General features: G+C 43.3%; 1 long non-coding RNA gene across 6 annotated transcripts in view, besides 1 other annotated feature; it reads right to left on the reverse strand.

The window, feature by feature from the left end:
• Positions 1-12,731, reverse strand: part of LOC101929200 (uncharacterized) — a 163,580-nt gene that overhangs the window by 149,426 nt on the left and 1,423 nt on the right. The window contains exon 3 of one of the 6 annotated variants that reach the window (XR_002956209.2): positions 2,665-10,136. The exons of the other annotated variants lie outside the window; for them this stretch is intronic. This is a non-coding gene — a long non-coding RNA (uncharacterized LOC101929200). Of the gene's footprint in view, positions 1-2,664; positions 10,137-12,731 lie in introns of those variants that run through there. 6 annotated transcript variants of the gene reach the window in all.
• Positions 11,308-11,377: an enhancer, noted in NCBI's record as "active region_22323". NCBI's record gives its function as "activates an Ori minimal core promoter by ATAC-STARR-seq in GM12878 lymphoblastoid cells {active_cell/tissue: GM12878}" and the evidence as "EXISTENCE:reporter gene assay evidence [ECO:0000049][PMID:35858748]".

The following is a 12,731-nucleotide window of genomic DNA, read 5'->3' on the forward strand; positions in this document are numbered from 1 at the left end:
CCACTGGAGAAGTTTGTGGTTTTCTTTTCTAATTGTTTTTCTACAATTTGTTTTCATTTCCGTTACTTAAGTTTTAGGGTCCTATGACAGCTACTTAATCCAAACAACTAATCTTCAGCTGGGGAGTTAACTAAATGAGTGCTGAGCAAGCATTTTTGCTCACTTCTTTAAAATAACTACTCTCCTCGGGTCAAATGTTTTGCTTTTTATATGATATTCACAGAAAGCTCTTTTTTTTTTCTTTGAGATGGAGTTTCACTCTTGTTGCCCAGGCTAGAGTGCAATGGCACAATCTCAGCTCACCGCAACCTCCATCTCCCAGGTTCAAGCAATTCTCCTGCCTCAGCCTCCCGAATAGCTAGGATTACAGGCATGAGGCACCACGCCTGGCTAATTTTGTATTTTTAGTAGAGATGGAGTTTCTCCATGTTGGTCAGGCTGGTCTTGAACTACCGACCTCAGGTGATCCGCCTGCCTCGGCCTCCCAAAGTGCTAGGATTACAGGCGTGAGCCACCGTGCCCAGCCCACAGAAAGCTCTTTAAATAAATATGCAGATGTAAAACTATATATATGTAACAGGGTCTTGCTCTGTTACCCAGGATGGAGTTCAGTGGTGCAATCACAGCTTCCTGCAGCCTCAACTTCCTGGGCTCAAGTGATCCTCTTGCCTCAGCCTCCTGAGTAGCTGGGACTGCAGACACACATCACCATACCCAGCTAATTAGAGATGAGGTAATGTGTTGTCCAGACTTAAAGCAATAATTTTTCCTGTGATATTTTATCATTAGGTTTCTTAAGACTTCTGTTTTTTTCTTTTATGGTTTCGATGGCAGGCGCACTTTGCTCCTAACTCTCAGTTATTAGACTCAGAAGAGTCTGAACCTTCACAGCTTAGCTGTGGCTTAGTTGGGGCTCACTGCTACATCTCTACCAGTAGGCAAGTTCCTGGGGAGGAGGCCCACTGAGTTTGTTCACCTCCATGTCCCAGCACATGAAACAGGGCCTGGCATGAAGCAGGCCAGCAGCTCTATAAAACATGTTCAATGAATGGACAAATTAATGGAGTTTGCCTTCATAGATACCTTCCCAAATCTGGTTTCCTACTATTTAAGTCTCTATTACAGTCAGTCATCTTAGGAATAAAGGTAGGCATTGACCACCCAAAAGGCTGTTTCTGTCTTCTTCACAAAGTGGGGCTGGAAAGTGGGTGGCATTATCACTGACAGAGTCTTCTGTAGCGGCCACTTGCATGACAGGAATGGCCAGTACCCAGCACCTTTCCATGGTAGTCATGCCTGATACCATGTGTAAGGAACATGGCTGTGCTGCCGCTAATCAGGCATGGGGCAGCAGGCATAGGCTGAGGTAAACAGCCTGGATGACTCAGCAGGTTTGTGGTGCAGGCGCACAGTCCCATGATTTATATAATCACAGCCATGTGGACATAACATAAAGAAGCTCACCACCTGGCTCTCAGCCACTATTGTGTAATGTATAAAAGTAACACTGACCCTGTGAGGGAGCTGCTGAATAAAGGCATGCCTCATCTACCTGATGTCTCTTGAGTGTTGAGTGTTCTTCCAGCTCCCTGCCCCACATCCACCTGCTCCTCTCAGCCCTCATCTGGGGCTGGAACCTGACTCTGAGCATGACCCCATGTAGGTATCTGCCCTTGTCTGTTTGTGCGGCCCATGGGGCAGGGGGAGCTGACTTCACTGCAGTAGGGCAGGGCACAGGACTGAGACCCAGGCTTCTCTCAGCTGCAGGACTGGTGTGAGGTCCAGTATGAGCACCTGACCCAAGTGAGCCAAACATAGTGAAACATGGGATTTTGTTTGCTAGTGGCTGGCATAGATGTTCTTTCCTAGCGGATGAGAACCCAGAGGGATGCAGACCAAGGAGTGGCTATAACCCATCAGGTGATTATGAAGAGGGGGCTTGTCTGATCCTTGAAATAGAATCCCAAGGTCAGATCCACTGAACTCTGGATCTGACAAGTTACATGAGCCAATACATTTCTGTAACATAAAATGAAGTTGAACTTTCTGTTTCTTACAACTGAAGTGTTTCTAAGTGATAGAACTACCTGACTTTGGCAGAATCTCAGATAACTTTGCCTGATCAAAAGTCTCCATGATTGTTTATACTTCTGGGGGGGAAAAAGGAAACATCGTCTGCATTTTTCCTTTCCTCTTCCTTTCCAACACCTTTGAGTTTCTTAGCCAGTTCTTGAAAGCAAGGATGAGTCTGACAACCTGCAATGTGTTTTTCAGAGTCTGATTATATGTCTTTGCAAAAGTCCTTCTCGTATCTTATTTCTGAACTTTCGAAGAGGTCTCAACCTGTACTTCAACAGATATTTAAGTTTTCTTCTTAACACTCATAAAGCCCCTTACTAGACAGGAAATCTTTTAATAGAAATTTATAATATAAATAAAGAGGATATATTCAAGAGACATTTGGGGTTCATACTTTCCTATCTTTTTTTTTTTTTTTTTTTTTTTTTGCCGTGAAGACTCTTTTTCACTATGGTGTAAGTTGAATAACGTGTAAAAGTCTTGAAACTTTCAGCACATATCTGGAATGTGTTGTTCAAGTGTAGCACTGTTTTTCTTTATGTCAGGGCTGGAAGATGAGGCCACAAGAAAATTTCTGGCCAAACATGTTGTTATTAAATGTTTATTCTCTCTGAAACCCATGTTGAAACTTAATTCCCAGTATCACAGTACTAAGAGGTGAAGGGCCAGCACAGTGGCTCATGTCTATAATCCCAGCACTTTGGGAGGCTGAGGTGGGTGGATCACTTGAGGTCAGGAGGTGAAGACCATCCTGGCCAACATGGTGAAGCCCTGTCTCTACTAACAAAAAAAAAAAATACAAAAATTAGCTGGACATAGTGGTGCATGCCTGTAGTCCCAGCTACTCATGAGTCTGAGGCAGGGGAATCACTTGAACCTAGGAGGCGGAGGTTGCAGTGAGCCCAGATTGCACCATTGGAATCCAGCCTGGACGACAAGAGCGAAACTCCAAGTCAAAAACAAAAACAAAAACAAAAAAAAAAAGAGAAAAAGAGGTGGAGTCTTTAAGAGGTGAGTGGAGTAATCTAGTCCTGGATTAATGGGTTATAGAGGGCACGGGTTGGTTTTCAGAAGAACAGATCTATACTAAGAGCCAATTTCGCCATCTCTGCTGAGTCCCTACCATGTGATGTTCTGCACTGCCTTGGACCTCTACAGTGTGTCTCTACCAGCAAGAAGGCCCTCACCAGATGTAGCCCCTAAACCTTGAACTTCCAAGTCTCCACGTCTGTAAGAGCTGTGTGATCTTTCTTTGTTAAATCTAGAAAGAAAGTAAACAATCTCCTCTGAGTTACAGGTATCTTTGAAGTAACACATCTCAATTTCCTGCCTAAAGCTGACTCTTCATTCCCAGTTCAGGATGACAACTTCCCACCCCTTCTGTACTCTTACTTTCTAGTGGTTCAAGCTGGAATCTCAGGAGTCGCTCATGATGATTTTCCTTAATTCTACATGTAATCCCCATGACTGCCTTGCTGGCAATAACTGCATGAATCCTCACTCCTTCTTCTTTTTTTTTTCAGTTATTTTATTTGAAATTCCCTGTCATTACCTTGCATTTACTTTCTATTTAACATCTTTATTAAAGTATAATTGACATATAATAAACCCCACATATTTAAAGTGCACAACTTGATAAGTTTTGACATATGTATATGCCCGTGAAATGAGCACCATAATTAAGATAATGAACATATCATCATCTGCAAAAGTTTCCTTGGGACTTTCTGTAACCCCTCTTTCTTGCTTCTCCCTACTATCCCCAGGCTACCACTGATATGCTTCCTGTCACTATATATTAGTTTGCATTTTTTAGAATTTTACGTAAATGAAATCACATGGTATGTACTCTTTTTTATTGGCTTCTTTCATGCAGCATAAGATTCAATAATTTTGTAGCATATATCAATAATTCATTCATTCTTTATTGGGAAACTGTTTGCATACTATCAATAGAATGCAATACAATTCCACAATAAAATATGAATGTCACAGTTTGCTTAGCCATTTGCCCATTAACATTTGTTTGTTTAGCCATTCACCAGTTTGTTTAGCCATTCACCAGTTAACATTTGGCTTGATTTCAAGTTCTGGCTATTACATATAAAGTTCCCATGAGTATTAATTTTTTTTTTTTTTTTGAGATGGAGTCTCGCTCTGTCACCCAGGCTGGAGTGCAGTGGTGCGATCTCAGCTTACTGCAACTTCTGCCTCCTGGGTTCAAGCAGTTCTCCTGCCTCAACCTCCAGAGTAAATGAGACTACAGGTGCACACCACCACACCCCTCTAATTTCTGTATTTTTAGTAGAGATGAGGTTTTCCCATGTTAGCCAGGCTGGCTTAAACTCCTGATCTGCGATGATCCACCCACTTTGGCCTCCCAAAGTGCTGGGATTACAGGCATGAGCCACCATGCCCAGCCAGTACGAATCTTATATAGTCAAATGTCTTCATTTATCTTGGGTCAATATGTAGAAGTGGGATGTTTGCATCATATAATACATGTATGTTAAACATTTACAAAACTCCCAAGCATTCCTATACACCAACAATAGACAAGCAGAGAGCAAAATCATGAATGAACCCCCATTCACAATTGCTACAAAGAAAATAAAATACCTAGGAATGCAGCTTACAAGGGACATGAAGGACCCCTTCAAGGAGAGCTAAAAATCACTGCTCAAGGAAATAAGAGAGGACACAAACAAGTGGAAAAACATTCCATCCTCATGAATAGGAAGAATCAATATTGTGAAAATGGCCATACTGCCCAAATTAATTTACAGATTCAATGCTATTCCCATCAAGCTACCATTGACATTCTTCACAGAATTAGAAAAAAAAACTACTTTAAATTTCATATGGAACCAAAAAAGAGCCCATATAGCAAAGACAATCCTAAGCAATAAGAACAAAGCTGGAGGCATCATGCTACTTGACTTCAAACTATACTACAAGACTACAGTAACCAAAACAGCAGCTACTGGTACCAAAACAGACATATAGATCAACAGAACAGAACAGAGACCTCAGAAAATAACACCATGCATCTACAACCATCTGATCGTCGACAAATCTGACAAAAACAAGCAATGTTTAATAAATGGTAAACTGGCTAGCTATACGCAGAAAACTGAAATTGGACCCCTTCCTTACACCTTATACAAAAATTAATTCAAGATGGATTAAAGACTTAAATGTAAAACCCAAAACCATAAAAACCCTAGAAGAAAATGTAGGCAATACCATTCCAGACATAGGCATGGGCAAAGACTTCATGATGAAAACACCAAAAGCAATTGCAACAAAAGCCAAAATTGCCAAATGGGATCTAATTAAATTAAAGAGCATCTGTACAGCAAAAGAAATTAGCATCATAGTGAACAGGCAATCTACAGAAAGGGAGAAATTTTTGCAATCTACCCATCTGACAAAGGTCTAATATCCAGAATCTACAAGGAACTTAAACAAATTTACAAGAAAAAAAAAAAACCCATAAAAAAGTGGGCAAAGGATATGAACAGACACTTCTCAAAAGAAGACATTTATGTGGCCAACAAACATATGAAAAAAAGCTCATCATTACTGATCATTACAGAAATGCAAATCAAAAGCACTATGAGATACCATCTCACGCCAGTCAGAATGGTGAGTATTAAATAGTCAAGAAACAATAGATGCTGGTGAGGCTGTGGAGAAATAGGAATGCTTTTACACTGCTGGTGGGAATGTAAATTAGTTCAACCACTGTGGAAGACAGTGTGGTGTGATTCATTGAGGATCTAGAACCACGAATACCATTTGACCCAGCAATCCCATTACTGGGTATATACCCAAAGGAATATAAATCATTCTACTATAAAGACACATGCACTCGTATGTTTATTGCAGCACTATTTACGATAGCAAAGGCATGGAACCAACCCAAATGCCCATTAATGACAGACTGGATGAAGAAATGTGGTACACATACACTATGGAATACTATGCAGCCATAAAAAAGAATGAGTTCATGTCCTTTGCAGGGGCACGGATGAAGTTGGAAGCCATCATCCTCAGCAAACTAACACAGGAACAGAAAACCAAATACCGCATGTTCTCATTCCTAAGTGGGAGTTGAACAATGAGACTATATGTACACAGGGAGGGGAACAACACACACCACAGCCTGTCGGGGATGGGGGGCAAGGGGACAGAGACCATTAGAACAAATACCTAATACATGTGGGGCTTAAAACCTAGATGATGGGTTGATAGGTGCAGCAAAACCACCATGGCCCAAGTATACCTGTGTAACAAACCTGCACGTTCTGCACATGTATCCTGGAACTTAAAGTAAAATAAAATTAATTAATTAATTAAAAAGAAAAGCAAATTGAGGAAGTGTGCATTAAGGAAATACACAAGAGGAATTACTACCACACTCATATTAAATTGGCTAAAATTAAGAGACTGATTATATCTAGTGTTGGCAAGGAAGGGGAGGAATTGGACACTCATATATACTGCTGGTAGGATGTAGTACAGCCTCTTTGGAATACACTTTGGGATCCTCGCTCCTTCTATTTCCATCTAACTCCACTGCCAGGACTGCAGCCATGCCTCCATTCTCTGTGTCCTGGATCACAGCCTGGTCCCTGGTGTCCTGGCTTCTTCTGCTGCCTTGTCCCAGTCCATCTCCCATGAGAGGCAGTATGAAATATGTTTAAAGTAAAGTCAGATTATGCCACTCCATTTCTTTAACCTCTTCAAAGATCTAAAACTTTTCTACCCTGGCTTACAAGACTCTACATGATCTGGCCTGTGCCCCATCCCTCCTCTTAAGTAAATCAATACCAAGTGGCTCCTTGTTCACTATAGTCTGGGTTACCTGAGCTGACTTCTGATGCTTTAACATGCCACATTCACTCCAGATAGGGAGACTTCCTGTCATTACTCCCACTGCCTGGAAGTTTGCTCTTGGTTTTTGTTGTCTTTTTTTCTCCAAAGAGACTTTATTTTTTAGAGCAGTTTTACTTTCACGGCAAAATCAAGCAAAAAGGACAGAGTTCTCATATACCACCTGCCCCCATGCATGCACAGCCTCCTCCACTATCAACACCACACTCATAGTGGTACGTTTGTTATAACCAGTGAGTTTACACTGACACATTGTTACGTGTCACGCCAAAGTTCATAGTCTACATTGGGGTTCACTCAGTGTTGGACATTTTAGGAGTTTTGACAAATGTAACACATGTATCCACCGCTATGATATACAGAATTCTTTCACTGCCCTAAAAATCCTTCTGCCTGTTCATCCCTTCCTCCCCTATCTCAAACCAAGGAAACCACTTTTTTTTTTTTTTAAAAATGTCTCTATCATTTCCCTTTTCTAGAATGCCATATAGTTGGAAGGACACAGCATGTAGCCTTTTCAGGTTGACTTCTTTCCCTTAGTAATGTTCATTTAAGGTTTCCCCATGCCTTTTCATGGCTTGAGAGCTCATTTATTTTTTAGCACTGTATAATATTCCATGGTTTGTGATATGGTTTGGATGTGTCCCCACCCAAACCTCATCTTGAATTGTAGCTCACATAATCCCCATGTGTTGTGGGAGAGACCCAGCGGGAGGTAATTGAATCACGAGGGTGATTACCCCCATGTTGCTATTCTCATGATAGTGAGTTCACACACGATCTGAGGGTTTTATAAGGGGCTTTTCCCGTATTTGTTTGACACTTCTCTTTCCTACTGCCATGTGAAGGGCATGTTTGCTTCCCCCTTCCTCCATGATTGTAAGTTTCCTGAGGCCTCCCCAGCCCTGTGGAACTGTGAGTCAATTACACCTCTTTCCTTTATAAATTACCCAGTCTTGGGCAGTTCTTTATAGTAGTGTGAGAACAGACTAATTCAGTCTGCATGCATCCCAGTTGATTTATCCATTCACCTACTAAAGGAACATCTTGCTTTCTTCCATGTTTTGACAATTCTGAATAAAGCTGCTTAAATATTCATGTGCAGGACTGTGTGTGATGTTAAGTTTCAACTCATGTGCAGGATTGTGTGTGATGTTAAGTTTCAACTCATCTCGGTAAAGACCAAGGAGCATGATTGCTGCAGCTTTTGCTTTTTAACCTCACTGGATTATACTTTTACCCAGATATCAGCTGTTTAACATATTAATGTATTAATTCACTCAGCTTACTGATTCAGCAATCATTTCTTGGTAACTGATGTTTAGGAGACACGGTCTGGGTGTTGGGGACATGACAGTAAGTAGAGTGGGTTCTGCCCACTGGCACGGATGTCAGGGCACAAGGACTGGAGAGGATGATGCACACAGTGAGAGGTGCTGGGAGTCACACACATGCTGACTATGGCTGGCTGACCCCGTGACAGGGCGTGGGAGTAAAGAGGAGTCAGACAAACTCCTCAGTTTTCGGTCCTAGCAAGTGGGAGAACAGGGGCACATGCAGGCATCGTGCTGCAGGGAGATGCTCCTCGCAGGACCCAGGACAGAACCGGCTGCCAGGGATGGCAGCGACCATGATGGCTGTGGTGGGACAGGCAGACAGCTATCTTACCAACAGAACTCATGCTGCTTATATGTGGCGAGGAGACAAAGGAAAAAAAGGGAAGGACCAAGAATGATACCAAAAAAAAAAACCAAAAAAGTTTGATATTCAAAACTCTATCAAGGACATTTCCCATAGAAACTGGACTTGAATGGACCTTAGAGAACTGGTTGGATTTACTGCCTAGGATGGAAGGGGGTGCCACTTGCACGCCAAGCCCAATATTGCAGAGGGGCTGATTGGAGCTGTGCACTGTGAAGGATGAGAGCTGGGCACACACAACAACTGAGGAATTCATTGGGAGGTGAGTCAGAAGGAGGAGGAGGATGAAGAGGAAGAGGAGGAGGAGGGTGAGGAGGAGGGAGAGGGGAAGGAGGACGGGGAGGGAGGGGGAAGGAGGGGGAGGAGGAGGAGGAGGAGAAGGGGCTGCACATGCCTCAGCAAGGGCAGTACTGAGCAGAAGATGATCATAAAGTCACTTCCTCCATGTCTTGGTTTTTAAATCATTGCTGTCTGTGGGATTTGTCCTCTGGGCTCCTTCTTACCCCAGATGCAGTCTTGGGCACACACCCTAGCCTTTCCAGTCACTCGGAGACAACACAGTCCAGTGTGATGTGCTGTCACTTATTTCCTGTCTTCAACTTAGCTTCTTACCCATGGAGCTGGTGGCCGTTCTTAGACGCTAGCAAGATGGGTGTGGGTGGGTGGGAATGGGGCAAGACAGGCTTTTCCTCTGTTCCAACATTTTCCTTATTCACCAGCTTGTTTGTGACCCCTCCAAGCTTGGGGTAGGAGAAGGGATCAGGAGAAAAAGATGCAGTCTTTGTAACCTGGCTTCCCAAAGTGCTTGAGTCATAGTCCAAGAACAAAGAACAGGCTGGTGGGGTGGGCTTCTCTCCTGCAGCGAGCTCCTTGGGACGGAAGAGCATCTTCCGCACAGGACTGGGGCAGAGCTCAGCCAGGAGACCCACATTACACCCAGATTATTTTAAGAGAGAAAAGGTAAAAGCAAAACACTAAAATATCACAGGAGGAGCCACCGCAAGAAGCAGCTGACACCTTGGGCTGGAGAGAATAAAAGAAGGAGGAAGGAGTGAGCAAAACTCAGAAATGTGGAGGAGCTGCCACCCAGAAATCACACTCAGACATATGAAGAAGGGACCTTCTGGGCTGGTGCTGAGGCCTCTGCTCTTGGACTCAGGGCTCTGTGGAGCTGGGAAACCAACTTTGCTGGTATCTCCGAGGGGATGCTATGAGGCTGGCTCTGCGTGTGTCAGAGAAACTGCAGACCCAATTCGTATGCCGCTCTGTTCATGAACTGCCACTGCCAGGTGCGAAAGCAAGGATAGCAAGACGCTAGCAGGACCAGGAGTCGGACAGGACAGAATGGGAGGCACAGGCCCCTCTCCTACCTCTTATCTTCTGGTTTCCTTGTGTATATCTGTTGGCACAGCTGAACAGAACTCTGGCAGGAGAGGTGGCACGTGGCTCCCCAGTCCCTACGTCACAAGGCAGAGTATAAAAGGGAAGGTGTGGGGCCGAGAGACAGTAACTTAACCACCAGCTCAGGGTCCTGGGATTCATCCCTCTTCCAGTCAGCAGGAAGTGACAAAGAGCACAGGAAGGCCCTAGGGGCCAGGCCCCTTTTGCTGATGTTTGGCTGGTAGAACTTAATCACATGTCAGGTGCAGGGAGGCTGGGGAATAACTAGACAGAATAGAAACAAGTTTTGGTGAGTGGCTGCCACTGGTGCTGTGTGGATACAGTTCAAAGTGAGGACTTTCCAGCTGTGGACATCCAGCTACAGTTCTTTGAATGGGGGATGGAAGAGCAAAGTTTTATTTCTGGCTGCTCACTTTGCCTCAGCCTCGCTTTCCTCGCAGCTCCCACTGAAATGCCCACCGTATCCAGTATGCAGAACTCCTGCTCATCCCAGTGCGGGTGAGCATGCGGCTCAGTCACCTCCAACCCATCTCCTGGAGCTGTCCCACGGTTCCCTTGGAACCACTCTAGGGCATGTAGCATCTGACTCTGAGTGCTTCACTTCGTGGGGGCACTGATTAAAACAAAGCTCTGGAATATAGCATCATCGAGAGGCAACTGTTGATTTAATTTATTAACATATACATCCACTGAAATGGCTGCTAGATGTGGTCTAGAAACCAAGGAGACCCCCCACTGGCCTCAGGTGAAGGGGAAACATGTCCCTCCCTTTCCTATCCCTCCTCAGAGTTAGGTGGGACATGCCCTTGCCAGCTGCTCTACAGAGAATCCCCTCCTCAACACCTGTCACCTCTGAGCACCTGCCGCCTTCTTCCTCCGATCCCGGAAGCTACAAGAAGCTTCTCGTGTGACCAACTCTTACAGCCGCCAGGTGTTCACAAACCCGCAAGGCAGAGTGGGCTTGTCCTCCTTTACAGAGGGCGACTGCAATGTGAGAGTTGTGAAAGTCCTTTCAAATGTTGCTTTTTTTTTTTTTACTTTTCTCAATCAGCTTTCTCAGGTTGAAGAAAATTTTGCTTAATAATCATATCAGTTTTGCTTTCTATTTCAAACTAATTGTTTCAAAACTAAATTTTATTTGTCCGGTTTCTAAGTAACATCAGTGTTTCAGGAAGAAGCAACATGTTTACTCTCTGGCTTCAAATCACTTTGAGGGTAAGAGCTGAGGCTGTGAGCAAATTGCTGATGTCTGAGGACAAGTCGAAACCCCACCACTATAACCCTGAGTGTTGAGAAAAACTGGAGCAAAGACAGCTTAGGACTAAGCCTGGTGGAACGTGTGTGGGCGGATAGCAAAGTGGTTCCCACAAGACGCCTTCCACCCTAGGATGCCCCAGAGGATGGCCTTTCCCCTCAGCAAGAAGGTTCGGTTAAGTCCTAATACCGTCGGAAATTCTATTTATGTGGAAAACACACAGGGAAAGACAGACATCTTGTGGGCATATGGTAGCATTACATCACAGGTCTGGAAATTAATACCTAATAATCAGGGGGTCATATCATTGAATAACACACTGTTAGTCACAAACAATTCCATCAAACATCTCTCCAATTAAAAGAAACAAATGAACATATAGTTCATTTTTCTTACAGTTAAATGCATCAATTAAAAGCACAGCCTTGAACTTCCAAAGAATAGACAGCTTTCCATTTTGAGTTCTCCTTGGTTTCTAGACCATATCTATTAGCCATTTCAGTGGAAGTATATGTTAATAAACTAAATCAACAGTTACCTCTCAATGATGCTAATTCCAGAGCTTTCGTTTTAAGCAGACACCAAGTATCTGAGAGGTAATGAGCGTGTGGGGTGAGAAGTGAGACTTTTTGAGTTGGATCCTCTGAACAGCTGGCTGGATTCGACAGGCACAGGGAATCCCAAGACCAGAGACTGGAATGCAGACATTCCTCCGGGTCTTAGGGCTTCTCTGGCAGAAAAACAACAAGTTTATCTTGGAAGTTTGACAGGAAAAATGCTTTTAAAGAAAAAGCAAACCATCTTTTTCCTATGAGTCAGTTGAAGATATATTTATCTCCTTTCCAAAATGGATACCACCATCAATAAATTATTAATAACTATTTGTCTAGTGAATCCTATAGAGTGGGTCCCATCCTTGTCACTTTTTACTTAAATTACCGTTGGTCCTCTGTAAGGAAACACCAGCACAAATAGGTCATTTGCGTAAGAATTTAAAGACAGATGTGTGGTTCCAAAGCCATAGTTCACCACTTGCAGTATACACACTTGCTTGTTTGTTTCCATCGTGATGAAAAAACAGGTGTGGCCCATCATGCAGGAAAGAGAAAAAATGTAATTCTGACCATTCCTCAATTAGTGGCCTACTACATTTTCATTATGACCAATAATCACACCTGTTTTTTTACACCCTGCATGTTAAGAATGACTTTCACATTTTGAAGTTTCTTAAATAAACAGAAGGTGACAAATAGGTGGCACAGACCTGTGTGACCTACAAAGCTTAAATATTTACCATGTGGCTCTTCAGAGTCTGCCTATCCCTGCATTACGTAAACAAGACTCGTTTTCATTAGATGTCTTGAGAACTGGCTTTGAGAAAGGTAGGAGAAAATAC

The sequence above is a fragment of the Homo sapiens genome, chromosome 5, assembly GCF_000001405.40.
Source record: "Homo sapiens chromosome 5, GRCh38.p14 Primary Assembly".
NCBI classification, from domain to species: Eukaryota; Metazoa; Chordata; class Mammalia; order Primates; family Hominidae; genus Homo; species Homo sapiens.